Below are 18,984 nucleotides of genomic sequence, written 5' to 3'. Positions count from 1 at the left end.
CCTCCCGGGTTCACACCATTCTCCTGCCTTGGCCTCCCGAGTAGCTGGGACTACAGGCGCCTGCCACCATGCCCGGCTAATTTTTTTTTTTTTTTTTTTTTTGTATTTTTAGTAGAGACAGGGTTTCACCGTGTTAGCCAGGATGGTCTCGATCTCCTGACCTTATGATCTGCTGGCCTCAGCCTCCCAAAGTGCTGGGATTACAGGCATGAGCCGCTGCGCCTGGCCACGCCCACCTAGTTTTTTGTACTTTTACTAGAGACGGGTTTCACCATGTTAGCAAGGATGATCTCGATTTCCTAACCTCGTGATCTGCCTGCCTCAGCCTTAAAAGGTTGTATTCCGAAGCTGAATTTCCTGGCAAAACAACTACTGTATTATTATTTTTTTAAATAACTAAATAACTGGAATGTCCTGGGGTGGAGATAAGAAGTCCCTTATGTTCTGTCTGCTGAGGGGGCACAGAGGGGCCGAGCCGGAGACCCTTCTCGGCTGGCAGCAGTGCTGAGGGTGAGGCTGCGGTTACAGATCCAGGGTTTCTGTCCAAGTGAAGCCGGACACCATGGGGCCACAGTGCAGAGACCGGCTTTCCTCCAAGTGGAATGTTTCGGGTTTAGTCTGGTTTTGTGTTGCAGAATAATTCACAATTTAAGACCTTTTTCTTGAAAACTTTAAAAAGTAATTTTTTTTTTTTTTTTTTTTTGAGACAGTCTCATTCTGTCGCCCAGGCTGGAGTGCAATGGCGCAATCTCGGCTCACTGCAACCTCCGCCTCGTGGGTTCAATAGTTTCTCCTGCTTCAGCCTCCCAAGTAGCTGGGATTACAGGCATTAGCTACCATTTCTGGCTAATTTTTGTAGTTTTAGTAGAGATGGGGTTTTGCCATATTGGCCAGGCTGGTCTCAAACTCCTGACCTCAAGTGATCCACCCGCCTCGGCCTTCCAACGTGCAGGGATTACAGGAGTGAGGCACCGCGCCCGGCCAGTCCACCATTTTTGTTATCTGAGAGTCTACTAAGCCTCAGTCTGACTAGATAGTGTGTGGTGATGCCATCTTGCCGTCTGTTGGGTTTACTCCTCAGGCTGACTGAAAGTGTTCAGGAAGGAGACACCGTCCTGAGGGCCATGGAGAGCAGTCACTTGCAGGCAGATGGCCCTGCCCTGGAGCTCAGGCTCTGAGCTGGGGGCTCGGGAGGAATCGCCCTCTGGGCGTGGGGCACAGCTCAGGCACCAAGACCCTGGTAGAAGGTGCTGTCAGTCACACCGGATCATTTGTCAGGAGGCCCTAAAATCGAAGGGGGTCCCAGGCAGGTTCCTGCTCCCTGACCTTTGACCTCACTGCCAGCACCTCCCGGTCCCTAAGGAGGAGGCCGCACAGGGACGATCACAGAAACTGTGCAGAGCCACTTGTGTAAGTACCAGTTGTGTGGGGAGTGGTTACCTTTGAGAAAAATGGGACGGCCTAGTTCTCTGGTTTTCCCAGGGCCTCTGGAAGTGACCTCACCTCCCTGTGCAGGTGCCGTTGAGCAAGCAGAGGGCTTCGCGGAGGAAGCTGTGGCCCTGCGTCCACGCGGCCAGCGTGAGGATGGTCTGCCCTGGGGCAGCCGGCGCCCTCCAGAGCATCTGCTGCTGCACACGTGTAGCAGAGTGCCGGGTCGGAACGCTGGTCAGCCTCACACTCGGTTTCCAGGGGAGTTGCTGATACATTAGTGGAAGATGTGGGGGTGCCGGCTTGGGGATCCCCTGAATTGGAAGGTTCCTGATGAGTTTAGGGGCTGACTTTGCTGTGCTCTGTTGCATTATGGACAGGATCTGAGTCACTGGGCTGCCCACACCGGGCCATTGTTGGGAAAGGTAGTGGTGGCCCGGCGTGGCCCTGCCTGCATGGGGTGAGCACAGGCCTCGGGCCCCACCACCCTCCCTCAGGCCTTCGGGGCGATGTGACGTTGGCGTAAGGATGGGCAAAACGTTCAGGATGTCCCTGGACATGGGTGCTGTGTCCCACGTGGATTTGGGGCAGAGATAGGTTGGGCCGTTGGCGTCCGCGAATCGGGACCCTGGTCGAGAAAGGCTGGTGGGCAGGATGGGAGCTCGGGAAGCAGCGCCCAGTGCAGCAGCTGTCAGGCCTCCCCCTCCCTGACCAGTGGGGATGGGCTCTGGGAATCTGAGTGTACAGGTAGCATTTGGTGCAGCTGGCACACACACGTAGGTAGAATTTGATCGCAAGTGAAATTTACTTTGTACTTCTCAATTCATTTTTTGCTGATTGTAGCCCAACAAAAGCAGCTTGGGTGCTGTGATTTGGGGAGAAGCTGCCCAGCGTGCCTGCTCAGGGGCTCACCCTGCTGCTGTTCCCTTTGCAGCCTCTGGGGTCCTCCCCATGCCTGGCAGGCTGGAGAGCTGTGGGCCACACACTGAGTGTCTTTACTGTGGGGCTTATTTTTCTAGTTTTCATTACTGTTTTTTCATTCCTACAAATGGTGCTATTTATACCTCCCGCAGCCTCTGGGAGACGTGTGTGGCTTCTCCATGGCTGGGACTGCAGCCTTGTTTCTGCCTGCAGGGAGCAGTGTGTGTCCAGATCCAGTGTGTGCTTTAGGCTTTGCCTGGGGTGTGGACATTTAACCCACATGGAAGGTCCCCGTGCAGCTGGCCTGGGGAAGCAGCCAGGCCTGCTCTGCCCTGTAGAGGTTGTTGAAGGCCCGGGCAGCCTGGGGGCGCTGGCAGGACAGGAGCTTTCTGGGGGGTGGATGTGTCCACAGCAGAAACCTGGGCCCAACTCAGTCCAGCTTAAGAGGAGGTCCTAGACCACGAGATGCCCCAGGGTCTGTGCACCTCCCAGGCCCAGCAGGGAGGGAGGGGCGTGTGGTGGGTGATGGTTCAGTGGAGTGAGTGGTGGGTGCAGCCTTCCTGCTGATGAACCACCAGGCCTTCCGGCCGGCACCAGTCCATGGTCCCTGGCTCCGGCAGGCTTGTCCTCCCTGGTGTGGTGCTTTGCTAAACCTCCGCCCTCCCTCCATCTTCCTCCCACAACAGAACAGTGTTGAGGCTCTGCCAGGCGAGATCACTGCCTCGTCCTGACTCCCTGGGCCCGGGACCATCCCTGGCAGGCACTTGAGGGGGGCCAGCAGCCTGGGGCCCGGGGCTCAAGGCCCCGTGGGGTCTGGCGAGAGGCAAGGGCCCAGGCACTGATTCTCTGAGTGCTGGCAAAGGGCCTGTGGTGTCCGCTGGTGTCTGGGAATTGCTGGAGGGTCAAAAGCATTAGGCTTAGCCAGGAAAGTCATGGTTAGGGTTAAACTCATGTCTGCTGAAAATTGCCTGAATTAAAATTGAACAAATGTGCCTTAACTCGAAAGAAAAGAGCAGACATTCAGAATAACACGTTGCCAAGAACCCTGAAGGGTGGCCCCTCTGAGGCACCAGCTACCCCCAGCCGGGCTGGCGTGGAGGATGGCGGGGGTTGTCTGCTGGTTGGGTGGCATGTGGACTTGTCTTGGATGCCATGATTTATATACATATATATATATATACTTTTTTTTTTTTTTTTTTGAGACACTCTCGCTCTGTCTCAGGCTGGAGTGTAGTGATGTGATCTCGGCTCATGGCAATCTCCCCTCCCAGGTTCAAGTGATTCTTGTGCCTCTGCCTCCGGAGGAGGCTGGAATCACAGGTGTGCACCACCATGCCTGGCTAATTTTTGTATTTTTAGTAGAGAAGACGGGGTTTTGCCATCTTTTTTTTTTTTTTTTGAGACAGAGTCTCGCTCTTGTCACCCAGGCTGGAGTATAGAGGCGCAATCTCGGCTCACTGCAACCTCCACCTCCTGGGTTCAAGCTATTCTCCTGCCCCAGCCTCCTGAGCAGTGGGATTACAGGCACCCGCCACCATGCCCGGCTAATTTTTTATATTTTTAGTAAAGATGGGGTTTCACCATGTTAGCCAGGATGGTCTCGATCTCCTGACCTTGTGATCCACCCGCCTCGGCCTCCCAAAGTGCTGGGATTACAGGCGTGAGCCACTGCGCCCAGCCATAATTTTTGTACTTTAGTAGAGTCAGGGTTTTGCCATATTGGTCAGGCTGGTCTCGAACTCCTGACCTCAGATAAGCCATCCGCCTCGGCCTCCCAAAGTGGTGGGATTATAGGTGTGAGCCACCATGCCTGGCTGCAGCCTTTTTTTTTCTTTTTCTTTCTTTTTTTTTTTTGAGACAGAGTCTCGCTCTGTCCCCCAGGCTGGAGTGCGGTGGTGCGATCTTGCTCACTGCAAGCTCCGCCTCCGGGTTCACGCCATTCTCCCGCCTCAGCCTCCTGAGTAGCCGGGACTACAGGCGCCTGCCACCACGCCTGGCTAATTTTTTGTGTTTTTAGTAGAGACAGGGTTTCCCTGTGGTAGCCAGGATGGTCTCGATTTCCTGATCTTGTGATCCACCTGCCTCGGCCTCGCAAAGTTCTGGGATTACAGGCGTGAGCCACCGTGCCCGGCCCCAGGCTGGTAATTTTTTATTTTTTGTAGAGGCAGGGTTTCTTTGTTGCTCTGTGTGGACAGAAAGCTTAGTTTGTTTCTCTGATGGTTAGTCCCCCACAGAATTTTAACGTGATTCTGTGTTGATGACACTTTCTGTTGCATGAGACAATATTCCAGATCTCTCTGGGTCCCTCCTGGATTCAAGGCATCCTCCTGCCTCGGCCTCCCGAGTAGCTGGGACCACAGGTATGTGTCACAGCCCAAGGCCTCCAGCACAAGCCTTATTCTCCCATCCCCAGACTCAGGAGGCCATGCAGCCACACACCGGGGGAGGGTTCCAGACGTCACTGTGGGACGGGAGTGACACCAACAGGGCAGGGAGGGCCAGGACATTGGCTCATGCTGGCCGGTGGCCTCTCGGGATTGGCCACACGTGCTCAACCCATGGGAATCTCACTCAAGGGTCTGATGGGCCTGCTCCTCCTGTTTACGCCAAAGTCCAGAAGGCCTCCGGGGGCGAGTGGGAGGACGCAGAGTGGGTGAGCGGAGCTACCTTCCTCACCGCGGTCCATGTGGAAGCCAGGGCAGGGGAGGGGCCTGCCCACTGCACCCACCCCCAGCACCCCACCCCGTGGCTGCCACATCTCACCTCTGGACAATTTTCTTGGCCCATCCTTGGGAGTTTTTTTTTTTTTTTTTTTTTTGAGACAGAGTCTTGCTCCTGTCACCGAGGCCAGAGTGCAGTGGCATGATCTCAGCTCAGTGCAGCCTCCGCCTCCTGGCTTCAAGCAATTCTCCTGCCTCAGCCTCCAGAGTAGCTGGGACTAAGGCGCCTGCCACGACGCCTGGCTAATTTTTGTAATTTGGTATAGATGAGTTTCACCATATTGGCCAGGCTGGTCTCAAACTCCTGACCTTGTGATCCGCCTGTCTCAGCCTCCCAAAGTGCTGGGATTACAGGTGTGAGCCACCGCGCCCAGCTGGGAGTTTATTTCTTAGATGTGTGTTAACTTCAGCTGAGGCTCCTGTGTGCCTCTGTTTCATGGCCTTCGGGTGTTGGCCGCCCTCTACTGAACGTGGTCCCTGAGGCCGCAGGGACTGTGCAAAGCCGGATGTCCAGGCCCTGGGAGTCCAATGGGGGCAGTCGATTCTATGGATGGCACATCCTCTTTGCCTGCCCTGCCCTGGGCCCTCTCTTGGCCCACTTTTCTGGGTACGTTTCAGGCCCTCATGCCCAGTTGGGGCCCTAGCATGGGTCAGGCCCTCCGCCTGGTGTCGCCTTCTTGCCCGGGCTGAGTCTTTGGTTTCTTTCTTTGTGGGTTCAATGTCGAACGCTTTGCGTCAGTGGGACTTCTGCAGGACCTGGGCGGCGCAGGTGTCCGGAAGATGGGACAGGTTTCTGTTCCGATGGCGCCTCTCTCCCCTTCCTCCCGCCCGGCAGTACTTAGGTTCTTCCTTCAGAAAGGATTTCCCCATGACTTGAAGAGCAGGCTCTCGCACGCAGGCCCGAAACCTGCTCAGCCTCCCCGTGGCCCTGAGCCTGTCTATTGAAGGCCCCGCCTCACCCGCCAGCGGCTCCTGTCCTCTCGCCTTGCTCTGAGCCTTTGCCTCGTGGCACTCACTGGCACCGTGGTTTTGCTGCCGGAATTCAGGTGGGATCTTGCGTCCCTGTGAGCTCATGGCTTGGTCTGTGGTCCCTTTGGTCCTCCTCAGGTCCTCACAGCCTCTGGTGGGGCTTGCAGGTCTAGCCCTCTGGGCGGGGCCTCACCTCGCATCTCCTCGCCAGGAGATCCAGAAGGGTGGCTGCTCGCTCATCCTTGTGTAGCTGAGGAGGCTGCTGCTTTGTCCCTGAAGTAGACATTTCTCCTTAACTGAATGATTCTTAATTTATTGCCTCATCTACATAAATAGTTGAGAATGACGTAAAGGAGGAAAGGACTTAGAACTGTCCAGGCCTCAGGGAAGAGCTGGCCTTGAACGTCCATGAGCTCTGCCAGCCAGTGACACCAGTCCCATCCCCAGGAGCCCCCACGGCCTCACCCCCGGCTGTGTCTTGCTCAGGGATGTGCAGGGAGGGTGATCCCTGTGCCCACCATGAAGCTGCCACTGGACCCCTGCACCCTGACCCCGGTTCCTCTCCGTGAGCCGGTCCCTGCACCTGCCCCTCTGCATGTGGCTGCACACAACAAGGTCAGGCCGTCTTGAGCTCTTTTTTTTCTTTTCTTTTTGAGACGGTGTCTTGCTCTTGTTGCCCAGGCTGGAGTGCAGTGTCACGATCTCAGCTCACTGCAAGCTCCGCCTCCCAGGTTCAAGCTTCTCCTGCCTCAGCCTCCCGAGTAGCTGGGATTACAGGTGTGAGCCACCGCGCCCGGCCTTTTTTTTTTTTTTTTTTTTTTTTGTTGTTGTTGTTGTTTTCCAGAAGGAGTTTTACTCTGTCGCCCAGGCCGAAGTGCCGTGGTGTGATCTCGGCTCACTGCAACCTCCGCCGCCCGGGTTGAAGCAACTCTCGTGCCTCAGCCTCCTGAGTAGCTGTAGCTGAGATTACAGGTGTGTGCCGCCCCACCTGGCTAACTTTTGTATTTTTAGTAGAGACGGGGTTTCACCATCTTGGCCAGGCTGGTCTCAAACACCTGACCTCAGGTGATCCACCCGCCTCGGCCTCTCGATGTGCTGGGATGACAGGTGTGAGTCGCCACGCCCGGCCTCCTAGAATGCTGGGATGACAGGCGTGAGCCGCCGCACCCGGCCTCGAGCTCTTCTTTCCGCAGACTTTGATTCTCAGCGGCTGAAGGACTAAGTTCCCCAGAGATGGACCCGGGTGTCATAGCTGCTTCCAGGGGCCTCGGGGACACAGGCGGGACTCCAATGTGCAGGAGGAGACACACGTCAGGGGTGGGTGTGTGACTTCCACGCTGCTGACAGTGACCCAAGGATGCAGCTCAGGGTCAGATGCCGTTAGATCAACCACTTCAATGTATTATAAAACTATTATAAAAACTATTTTTGCTACCCAGGAAGGTAGCTGAGTTCACTTAGAATTCCTGTCAGCTAGGCTGTTTATCTGAAAGTGGTTACTTGTCCCTGACCATCTGGAATGGCTCAAATGAGCTCCTGCAGACCACAGAGCTCATCTTTGGGAACCCAGTCTCTCTTTTTGGGGAAGTGAGCCCCTTCCTTGGGAACCCCTGAGGCCAGGCATGGCCACTGTGGATGGTGGGAGGATGCCCCACCCTGAGGACCCCAGAGGCTCCTGTGGCCCCTTCCTGGGACTGCTGGGGCCGGTGTGTGTCAGCGTTCACCCCAAGGCCCCCTTTCAGCTGGGCTGGACGCCAAGTGCCTTCAGGCCTCATCCTGCCCTCCACCATCCCATAGTCAGTGAGGCTGTGGCATCTCCCTCCTCGACTGTCTTGCCCTCTTGGTTTTTGTATCAGCGTTTTCCAGGCTGATTGCTGCTGAACCTTCTGTTTTTTTTTCTTTTTCTTTTTGAGACAGTCTTGCTCTGTTGACCAGGCTGGAGTGCAGTGGCATGATCTTGGCTCACTGCAACCTCAGCCTCCCGATTAGCTGGGATTGCAGGCATGTGCCACTATGTCCGTCTAATTTTTGTATTTTTAGTAGAGACGGGGTTTTACCGTGTTAGCCAGGATGGTCTCGGTCTCCTGACCTCGTGATCCGCCCACCTCGGCCTCCGAAAGTGCTGGGATTACAGGCATAAGCCACTGCGCCCGGCCTGGAGCTTCCTTTCTTTGGGTTTTCCGATGTTCTTGACTCTGTTGTAGCTGAGCTAGACTGGGGACTGGGTTTCCGGGTTTGCTTTGTCTCTGCTGAAGGGCTGAGGTTTCAGAGCCAGCATGCACTGCACAGGGAGCAGAGGGAGGAAGAAGGATCCGACTGCGGAGACACAGTGACTGAGGCCAAGGGCAGCTTGGGCCGGGCCAGCAGTGAGGGGAGAGGTCTGGGTAGAAGGTGTCATGCTGGGCGGGGGCGGGGGGTGTCCTGCGGGCCTTGGGTCTTTTTGCCGAGTTGGGGGACAGCGAGGAGCAAGCACCTGCCATCGCCCACTTTGTTTTCTGTGGGACCTCCTAGGACAGTGAGGCCCCTGCCTCACCAGGGCATGGCCCACTCCGCTGTCCAGGCCTTCGTCCCGGCTGCCTCTGCTGTGGGGCAGGGAAGGGGCTGGGTGTCCAGGACACAGGCGCTTCCAGGCTTCATACACAGATGCCTTTTCTCTGACGTTCCTTAACTCCCATGTGTAGCTATACACAGAATGGGATTTTACATATGCTGGACAGAAATAAGAGAATCAAGCCCCGGCCAGAAAGATTCCAGAACTGCAAAGACCTGTTTGATCTGATCCTCACTTGCGAAGAGAGAGTGTATGACCAGGTGGTGGAAGGTGAGGAGGCGGCTGCGTGCTGGGCTGGGCTCCAGCAGCTCTCACAGGGTCTGGGGATGCCTGCAGGGCCCCACCATGACCAGTACAGCCCGTCTAGAGTGGCGGGGGCCGGGGAGCAGACCTGAGTGTGAAGCACCCTGGAAGGCAGGCAGGGCCGCTGGTCGCTGAACCACCCATGTGCTGGCTGCAGCCTCATGGGCTTCAAGGGGCCTCTTTTCTCCTTGGTGTTTTTTTGTTTTGTTTTTTGAGACAGAGTCGTGCTCTGTCGCCAGGCTGGAGTGCAGTGGTACAATCTAGGCTCACTGCAACCTCTGCCTCCCGGGTTCAAGTGATTCTCCTGCCTCAGCCTCCCGAGTAGCTGGGACTACAGGCGTGTGCCACCACACCCAGCTGATTTTTGTATTTTTAGTAGAGACGGGGTTTCACCATGTTGGCCAGGCTGGTCTTGAACTCCTGTCCTCAAGTGATCCGCCCGCCTCAGCCTCCCAAAGTGCTGGGATCACAGGCGAGAGCCACCGCGCCAGGCCCATTTTTCAAGCGGATGGACCCTGTGTGGAGCTGGCGGTGGAGCAGGGAGGGCTGGTCTTTAGTGACGGGGAAGGGTCGCAATGCCAGTCACGGTTCACCCCAGGACTGGCTGGTGGGTGGGGAGTCCCAGACCAGCTTGTGCTGAGTTGGAGATTTGCTCAGGTTTCCTCGAACCATCAGCCGCCTTCGGTTTGAGGCTCATTCATTGTGCTCCCCAAACTGCAGAGTCCAGAAACCACTGGGGCTGGGCTGGGCCTGCAGCCGGCAGAGCTGGGGACTCAGCCACATTGACTGCCTGTTCCCTGGTTTTGGAGCCTCTGACGTCTGTGTCACCTTGTCCCAATCAGATCTGAATTCCAGAGAACAGGAGACCTGCCAGCCTGTGCACGTGGTCAATGTGGACATCCAGGACAACCACGAGGAGGCCACCCTGGGGGCGTTTCTCATCTGTGAGCTCTGCCAGTGTGTAAGTACCCGGCTGGGCGCCGCGCTGGGCAGAGGTTGTGACAGAGGGGAGTGACCGAGGCCGTGACAGAGGGGAGTGGCCGAGGCCGTGACAGAGGGGGTGGCCGAGGCCGTGACAGAGGGGAGTGGCCGAGGCCGTGACAGGGGAGTGGCCGAGGCCGTGACAGTGGGGAGTGGCCGAGGCCGTGACAGTGGGGAGTGGCCGAGGCCGTGACAGAGGGGAGTGGCCGAGGCCGTGACAGTGGGGAGTGGCCGAGGCCGTGACAGAGGGGAGTGGCCGAGACCTGAGGCCGGCCCTGCTGCTTGGGGCAAGGTCTGCTCAGCTCGCCTGTGTCGGGGGCGCCTGCTGGTAGTTCAGTGAGTCACTCCACAGCTTTGGCACAGGAGGCCCCCCTGCAATGCCCTTTGCTCAGCTGAGAGACGCTGCACAGGGACCTCCCCAACACAGGCTTAGTCCCTCTCCCAGGACACGGCTCCAGGGAACGCCTGGTACCTTGTCTCTTCCCCGTGGCGGACACAGCCCCACCTCAGTGAGCAGAGCATGCAGCTCTCCGGGATGCGGTGCAGTCGGAGGTGTGCCCCACGTGAGCCTGGAGGCTGCCAAGGGCTCTGTGTCCGCCGTCCACCCCTGGACTTGGCCTTCTGCACACCTGCCTTCCCCAGTGGGCCCTGCATGTCTCCCTTGCACAGAGGGGCCGGGGCACCCCAAGGCTTCTGTAGCCACCCTGCTGCGGCGTGGAGGTGCTGGGCTGTGACGAAAGGACCTGCCTGAGGAGAGCCCCACGCACCGTCCCGCCTCTGCCTCTGCCTCTGCCTCTGTGATTTGATGAATGTCTGTGAAAGACAGAAAAACAGAACAGCTTCACCAAGAAAGAAGATGGTGTGTTTGGAAAGCCCGGGAGCCAGGCGGGCGGGCGCTGGGAGAAGCTGCTGTGTGGCCGCAGAGGCTCCTGCGCTCCGCCTGGCCCACCCAGCATGGCTTCTGGTCCCCACGTGCCTCACGGTCCAGTGTGGCTGCTGAAGCGCCAGGGACGGTCTTCATGATCGCCTGGCAGGAGAAAAGGTCATAAGAAAATGTCGTCCCAGAAGTTATTGCACGATTTCTGCTTGGGTCACGTTGGCCAGAGCTGAGTCACAGACAGGCCGCTCCTTGCTTAGAGGCACTGGGTGCTGGCCAAGGCTGGGGACCAGGGGACAGTGGAGATGGCGAGTAACGAGCTGCCGGTGCCAGGGCAGGTGTGCCTAGGAGCCGGGCCTGCTCACTCTGGGGCAGCGGCCCTCTGCCAGGGGCTCTGGTGGATGGAGGCCAGGATGCTCCGATGACCAGGCTGCCCCCGCTCGCTTGTTGGTGGTGTGGAAGCGCTGGCGGTGAGGGTTGGTCGGCCCCGCTGTGCATGTGTGGGTCTGAGCCCTGGCCGCCAGGTCTCCGTGCTGGGCCCCTCTCAGAATCCAGCTCCAGGCTCCTCCCAGCTCCTCCCAGCTTCAGGTCCTGTGAGGGTCGGTGGGGAGGTGGGGGCTGCCCGGGACGCTCTCCCCCTGCAGCCTCCGGCCGTCCTTGTGAGGCAGCAGCGGTGGGGTGAGGGCCTGCCTGCTGCGCTGGTTTCTGCTGGCTCAGGCCTGGCGTTTCCCTGGCGATCCAGGTGTTAGGGGGAGCAGACAGGCAGGAGTGGGCAAGGCCCTCACCACGGTCCTGTCCTTGCAGATCCAGCACACGGAAGACATGGAGAACGAGATCGACGAGCTGCTGCAGGAGTTCGAGGAGAAGAGTGGCCGCACCTTTCTGCACACCGTCTGCTTCTACTGAGCCCAGCGCCCGCATGGAGCCGCCTCTGGAGCTTCCTGTTGTTCATACTTTTTCCTTCCTGACATTTGTTTTTACTTACAGGTGTTCTGCTGGTGACGGTAGCATTACCCAAATAAACTGTGCATATGAAATGGGAGAGGAGATGCCAAAACGCCAGATGAAAGCAATCAAGTTTCTTCTTTTCCACTTTTACTTATGAGCAGGATATTGATTACAAAGTTTTTCTTCTTTAACCAAAAAGGAAAGACAACGGTTTGTGTGCACTTCCCGACATACCTGTGTCTTCGTGTGCCTGCCTTCCCTCCCTCCTCCCCACCGGGCCGGACTGTACAGAGCCCTGCTGCGGCGTGTTAGGAATGACCTGGAATTGTCAATAAACAGATGCTGCTGTCATTGTGCCTGGTCCTGAATTCCTGGCCCGACCCTCGCCCCTGAGGAGGTGGCAGAGGCCTAGCCCTGCCGCCCTCAGTGACCTCCGACCACTGCTTGGGAGGAGTAGCTCAGACCTGGTGGTGCTGACAGGGTCTGGGCCTACCCGTGCCTGTGCTGCCTGAAGCGGAAGCCGCCTGCTCCTGCCACAACTGCTGCCTGTGGTGGAGCGGCGTCCCCTCTCCATGTGGAACCCCCCCGGGCGGGGATCCCCCAAGGCCAGCTACGGGGGAGGCTGAGCCGGGAGGATCGCCTGAGCCCAGGAGTGGAGGCTGCAGTGAGCCTGGATGGCGCCACGACCCAGGCTGGGTCCCAGGCATAGCTTCCCGCTGACTTCCTGCTGAGGCCGGGGGTCGGCTCCCGGGCCTGAGACATGGTCACCGGTCGTGGATGAGAGTTTGGCCTCAGGACCCCGAGCCAGGGACAGCCACAGCGGAGTGGTGGCCACTGGGCCTCTGAATGGCCGGCGTCCCGACCCATGGGCCTGGGCTGACCCCCTCGTCCCCGCCCTAAGGGAAGCCTGTGCGGGGCGGCCCTGCCCTCGGCTCCTGTGCCACATCCCTCCGTTGAGGATTCCAGGGGTCATCCCGTCCCTGACCTGTGGCCCCCACGGCCGTGGGGCTGTCGCGACCTTGCGGACCCCACCCTGGAGGCACGTGCGTGCCGAGCGGACTGGGGCAGTCCCGCACCCGGCGACCTGGGAGTCCAGGACGTAGGGCGGAGCAGTGGGGCGGGAAGGGCCTCGGCGCCCCTCCAGGACCGGAGGACTGGCGTCCAGGGTCACCGGACAGGCCACCGGGGCTGGGTCTGACCAGACTGGGGCGGGACGCGAAGCCGAGGCTCCCGGGGAGGGGTCCCGGCCGGCGTCCGGGGGATGGCGGTCTCCTCCCGGCGCTGGCACGGGGCGGCCTGCGGTCTGCGCGGTCCCTCCCGAGAGGCGGAGGAAGGCGGCGGGGAGGGAGGGGGGAGGAGGGAGGAGGAGGCAGGGAGGGGGCCGGAGCCGAGCGGAGCCGAGTCGAGCCGAGCCGAGCGCATCGCAGGGAGGACCCGAGGGCGGAGCGGAGCGCGGCGGGCCGGGCCGAGAGACCCCAGAAAGGCCCCGCGTCCCTCCCCGGCGCCCCCCCCCCCGCGCCTCCTCCCCCCGGCCGGTGCCGGGGTTGCAGCGAGCGGCGGCGGACGATCCAGGGAAGCGCTGACCTCTGCGGAGGCGGCGGGGGCTCAGCATCGGGCCGGGGCCGGGGGGGCGCCGGGGCCGGGGGGCGGCGCTCCGGCCCGGCCCGGCCCCGCCCGATGTCCATGAGCGCGAACACCATGATCTTCATGATTCTGGGGGCGTCGGTCGTGATGGTGAGCGGAGGGGCTTCCCGCGCGCGCCCCCTGCTCCCCGCCCGCGCGCGCCGCCTGGCCCACCTCCCGCGCCTTGTTTACCGCCCGTGCGGCCTGCGCTCCCCTCCCCGGCCTGCGCTCCCCTCCCCGGCCTGCGCTCCCCTCCCCGGCCTGCGCTCCCCCACCCCGGCCTCCGCTCCCCTCCCCAACCTGCGATCCCCACACTCCCTACGCTCCTCTCTCCGGCCTACGCTCCCCCCACCCCGGCCTGCGCTTCCCCCTCCCCGGCCCGCGGTCCCCTCCCGGGCCTGCGCTCCCCCCACCCCGGCCTGCGCTCCCCTCCCCAGCCTGCGATCCCCATACCCGCTGCGCTCCCCCTACCAAGGCCTACGCTCCCCTCACCCCGGCCTGCGCTCTCGCTCCCCGCTTGCGCTGCCCCGACCCCGGCCTGCGCTCCCCACCCCCAGCCCCGCTTCGTCCCGCCCGCTCCTTGGCGCTGACCGGTCATGAGCTCTTCCAGGCCATCGCGTGCTTGATGGACATGAACGCGCTGCTGGACCGATTCCACAACTACATCCTCCCGCACCTGCGGGGCGAGGACCGCGTCTGCCACTGCAACTGTGGCCGGTGAGTCCACAACCGGCGCCGGCTCGACACGCGTGAGCGCACATGTGTGGCGGGGCCCACTCGGGGCGCGGGGGAACCAGCCCCACGCAGGCCGCGAGCCGCCTTCCACCCTTGAGGGCTGCCAGGTGCGCAGGGGGAGGAGCTGTCTCAAGGTGGGCGGGGGTCTCCTGGGGGCGCATGGCTTTAGGACGCCGTTCCTAGAGGCCTCCAGGGTGATGGCGGAATGGGTCACGGGGCCTCCTGGTCCAGCCTGGAGGCCGGAAAGCCGCAGCCCAGTGTGATGTCCACAGTGGAGACCCAAGCCAGCCTCATCAGGGCTGGGGCAGGAAGCGCCTGCTGGCACAGGGCTGGGCCCTGCACTGAGTCCCTGGGCAGGGGAATGCAGGTCAAGGCGGGAAGGGCCTGCCTTGAGGGGCACTGGGCACCACCCCCGGGCTGGAGAGGAGCTGAGGGATGGGCTGGGGGGGCAGCGGGGAGGTGGAGCTTCCTCAAGGTCATTCAGATTGAGGGGAGCGCCCAGACCCCCCGCACCCACCGTGTGACCCCCTCTGTGCACGTGTAGCGATGGGATCCTCTTGGCCATGCATGTTTGTACGTCCATGTACGAAATAAACATCTTCTCATGAGACGCGCATGTGTGTGGCGTCTGTGCATATACATGTGCGTACACACAGCCCCCGCGCACGCACGCATGCACTTCCACCCCTCAGGACACCCTCACGCAGTGGCCGCTGTTAACCCTGCTGAACAGATGAGGAAGTGGACGGAGGATTTAGAGGACAGGCTTTTCCAAGGTCACACAGCTAGTGAAGGACAAAGGGGGCACCAGCCCAGAACCCGTGTTCGTCATCTCTGCTGCCTCCTGCTCCGGGGGTCTCTGTGCATACGTGTGGGTGTGGGGCATGTGTGTTCAGGACAGCTGCATGTGTTGCTAAGCGTGTGACATGCCTATGGGTGCAGCAGGCGTGTCGATGAAGAACACGGGTGTTAGAGAAGGCAGAGATCGGGGTGTCTGTGACCCTCACGTGTGCTGGGCACAGGGTAGGGGGTAAGAGCTTGTGGGGTGGCCACATGCTACCAGAGAGCCCCGTGTCCCTGGCTGGCAGGTCCGACTGCTGAGCAAAGGCCTGAGGTCGGCTCCACTGCCTCCCGGAGGCTGGGCCCAGACCCGAGCTCCAGAGCATCAGAAAGGTGCGGCCTCCACGCACGTGGGCTGGGGCCGTGTGCATCCGCCTGTGGCAGCACACTGAGGGCTCCGCGGGGCAGGCAGAGGCGCCTTAGAGTATTTGCACAGGGCATGTAGGGCGGCTCATGCCGTGTCCAGAGCACGCGTGGACTCGGGTGGGTGCACGCTGAAGGCAGCCGTGTGTGGGAAGCAGAGCCACAGCCTGCTGTAGACGGTATTGCTGCGTGTGTGTCCATGTATCTATGCTCTGTTCACATCTCTACATACAGGATATGTACGTTCAGCGTACAGAGTGCCCTTGTATATTGACAACATATATGTGTATGCAAAGTACATGTATGTCACAATATACAGTGCCGTGTGCTCAGGGACATGTCAAGATGTCTCCGTGTAGCTGCAGCCAGTGTGTGTGCAGACAGCAGTCTTGCACATGCGGTATCTGCGTATCCACCATGCCCGTGCACTGCCATGAGAGGCTCCCTGTGTGTACACGCTGGTGTTCAGAACGAGTGTGTGTACATGTGTAGGCCTCATACGTGCCTATACGTAGACGTTGACGTGGAGAACGTGTATGGAAATCAATGCTCCAAAGTCTGTTGGCAGGCAGCGTCCAAACTAGACATCCGTCCATGCACGTGACGTGGCGCCCCGTGGAGAGGGTGGCTGCGTTTTGCAAAGCCAAGCGAACATGCACTCGCGTGACACACCGTGCACAGGGCGGGGGTGTGGCGCTCCCGGGGCCCATGTCCACAGTATCACGCCATGTCCCGTGCATGTGGCTGGTGTGTATACGTGATGTACACTGGGCCTCAGGTGGACACACCTGGTGTGTGTGGTGCAGGCAGGACACACGTATGTACATGTCACAGACATACGTGTGCAGATAGCATATCTCTGCCCAGGCCTATCTCCTGCTTTCACTTGGGAGACCTGAGCCCTCCAGGAAGGAGGGCCAGGTGCAGGGAGAGGAGCTACAGGTACCCAGGCCAGCCATGGTGGGGGACACAGGCTGTGACCTCTGACCCCCAAAGTTACTGAGCCCCTGGGGTGGGTGAGGACTCTCTAAGGGGTCAGGAACAGCTTCCTCCCCTGAGGGCCTCTGGCAGCTGCACATTCTGGGCAGTGGTCAGCAGCTGCCCATTGGTGACGATGGACGATGGCTGTGGACAGGCTCGTCACCAGGTGATCGGTGGCCACCAGGAATCAGCCACGGTCATGGTCACTCCTCACCGAGAGCCCTGCCACTGAAAGCGGCCACTTTCCGGATATGCTGAGGGGACTGACCTCCGGGAACCCCAGAAGAGCAGGAGGGCTTCAAGGGGAGCGTGGGGCAGGGGACACCTCCTCCCTGTTCCTGGGCTCGGGCCCCAGGACCCCCCAGATCTCACTGAGGGAAGGCACCTGTGTGGTCCCCGCTGGGCACAGGGATGGCCTGGAGAGGGCTGCAAGACCCTGGGTTGGACGGACAGGCTGGGCTTTCAGTGTGGGAAGTACTTCTGGTTGGGGTGTGGAGGGTGGGGTGGTCTCTGGGTCTCGGCTGAAAACCAGGCTGAGGCGCTGCTACGTCACCGAGGGGAAGGTGGGGGAGAAGCAGGTCTGGGGAGAGAGGAGCTATTTTTAGGCACAAGTTTAAGGTGTCTGCGGATCCCACGTGGAGACACAGGCAGCTGGAGCTCGGCGGAGATGTGGGAGGCAGCCAGGAGTGTGGACCGCAAGGCGCGTGGGGCCCGCGGGCTCCACTCCCAGGCCCTCCTGTTGGACTAGGGATCCCAGAGTTGACTGTCTGGGATGCCAGTCCGATCGGCAGAGTCAAGGCCCGGAGACCTTCCTGGGACAGGGTGAGCTGCTGGGGCGAGCTCCTTGGGGAGCTTGTGTTGCCCCAGCAGCAAGAGGCCAGAGGCTGTTGTGGCCTGAGCCTGGGCAGTTCCCCCAAGAGCCCGGGGAGGGGAGGCCGAGGGACATGGAGGCGCGCAGGCACTGAGGACGAAAGGGCCCTGGAGCCTGGACGCCGTCCATCCTGAGAGGAGCGGGGCGGGTCTGTGCCAGGCAAGGGCAAGGGGGCGTCCCCCAGGAAGGGGAGAGGATGGGGTGCTGGGTAGAGCCCCCGTGGCCTCCGACAGCACCTCCCAGGGATAGAGGAGCAGAAGAAACACCAGGGGCAGTGGGCCTGGCAGGCGCGGTGGCAGCCGTGGAGGAAAGGGCACAGCAGCGGGGGGAAGGGTGCATGGGAGTGGCTGGTCTGGGGCCAGCAGGGCTCCCTGTGTCCAGCTCTGCTCCAAGTGGCCTCCGCGGCCCCGGGGCGGGCGGGTGAGCTGTGACCCTGGCCGTGGGGACCGCCGTCCTGAGCCCCCTCCGGGGGAGGCCTCTTCCACCTGCAGCACCTTCCCGTGAGCTCCAGGCCTCAGGGAGGAGGTGCTGAGTGAGGGCCGACACCCTCGCCGGCAGCTGGTCCCGCTGTCTGCCCGGACTTCACGCTCGGCCTCCACAGCCCATGGCCACTGACCTCCCACTCCCTCTGGCCTGTGACCTGGGCCTCGTTGAGTCTGGTGCCCCCTTCCCGACCCGCCCGCCCAAGAGGCTGCTTCAGAGAACCCCCAGGGCGGCCTGACGCGGTCACACCCCCACCACGGGGTAGGCGCCCCGGGGGAAGGCCAGGCCGGGGGTGGCGGGAGAGGTGCCAGCCCGCCCTGCCGCCCCCAGGCACCATATCCACTACGTGATCCCGTACGACGGGGACCAGTCGGTGGTGGACGCCTCCGAGAACTACTTTGTGACGGACAGTGTGACCAAGCAGGAGATCGACCTCATGCTGGGGCTGCTGCTGGGCTTTTGCATCAGCTGGTTCCTGGTGTGGATGGACGGCGTCCTGCACTGCGCCGTGCGCGCCTGGAGAGCCGGACGGCGCTACGGTGAGTGCCTCGTGCCCGCCGCCCGGGAGTGCTGCCGCCCTGGCCGGCCCCAGCCGCCTGACCGCCCCTGTCCCCCCGCAGATGGCTCGTGGACCTGGCTGCCCAAGCTGTGCAGCCTGCGGGAGCTGGGCCGGCGGCCGCACAGGCCCTTCGAGGAGGCCGCCGGGAACATGGTACACGTGAAGCAGAAACTCTACCACAATGGCCACCCCAGCCCGCGGCACCTGTGAGCCGCACGGGGACTTACCGGGGCCACCGAGCCAACCGGCTGCTGTACAGATGTAAAAGGGACCTCGTGGACGCCCGGGCCGGCGGGACTGGACAGCAGCCCTGGGCCCAGGTTGTCCGGGGCTGTGGCCGGCCGGGAGAGTCCAGTGGAAGGTGCTGTCTCTTCTTTTTATAAAGGGGGTTGGGGTGTGGGCTAGGGTGGGGGTTGGGTTAGGGGAGACCCTGCAGTTGGGGGGCAGGACACAAGGGCGGACTCATCCCCAGCGGTGCTGGGGGGCAGGGAGGGTCCTGGGGGGCAGGGAGGGTCCTGGGGGGCAGGTGGGGGCAGGGGCGGCGAGGCGCGCGGCCCGGGCCAGCATCTGTTTGAAGGCGCTGTTTCCCGTGCGCTGCGTCCACCGTCTGTCTGGCCCCAGCCAGCTTGGGCGGAGGGGAGGGGGGCGAGGGGAGCACCCGCGTGTGCACAGCCACAGGGTGGGGTGCAGGTGGCTGGGCCCAGGCAGCATTCAGGCCCCTGGCCCCGCAGTGGCGGGCACTCATGTGAAGCCCACCCCTCTGTGGTCAGTAAATTCTCCAGAAAGCGCCAGCCTCCGCCTCTTCTGTCACCTTTGACCCCAGGGGGACGC

The 18,984-nt window shown here is 61.1% G+C and overlaps 2 protein-coding genes across 2 annotated transcripts in view, besides 1 other annotated feature; both read left to right on the top strand.

The window, feature by feature from the left end:
• Window positions 1-12,049, top strand: part of SSU72 (SSU72 homolog, RNA polymerase II CTD phosphatase) — a 33,191-nt gene extending 21,142 nt beyond the window's left edge. The window contains exons 3-5 of the mRNA NM_014188.3: window positions 8,720-8,859; window positions 9,735-9,853; window positions 11,555-12,049. Coding sequence (NP_054907.1) covers window positions 8,720-8,859; window positions 9,735-9,853; window positions 11,555-11,656 — 361 coding nt within the window. The 3' untranslated portion in view covers window positions 11,657-12,049. The remainder of the gene's footprint in view (window positions 1-8,719; window positions 8,860-9,734; window positions 9,854-11,554) is intronic.
• On the top strand, window positions 13,098-18,944 carry TMEM240 (transmembrane protein 240). Its single transcript, NM_001114748.2, has 4 exons — window positions 13,098-13,432; window positions 13,932-14,038; window positions 17,925-18,133; window positions 18,215-18,944. Exons 1-4 carry the CDS (start codon window positions 13,376-13,378, stop codon window positions 18,361-18,363), a joined length of 522 nt encoding a protein of 173 aa, NP_001108220.1. The 5' UTR covers window positions 13,098-13,375; the 3' UTR covers window positions 18,364-18,944.
• Window positions 14,219-14,513: a silencer, noted in NCBI's record as "tiled region #185; HepG2 Repressive non-DNase unmatched - State 10:DNaseD". NCBI's record gives its function as "represses a minimal TATA promoter and a strong SV40 promoter by Sharpr-MPRA in HepG2 cells {active_cell/tissue: HepG2}" and the evidence as "EXISTENCE:reporter gene assay evidence [ECO:0000049][PMID:27701403]".

Source organism: Homo sapiens, chromosome 1 (genome assembly GCF_000001405.40).
Source record: "Homo sapiens chromosome 1, GRCh38.p14 Primary Assembly".
Classification (NCBI taxonomy): domain Eukaryota; kingdom Metazoa; phylum Chordata; class Mammalia; order Primates; family Hominidae; genus Homo; species Homo sapiens.
This window is presented reverse-complemented; position numbering and strand designations above follow the sequence as displayed.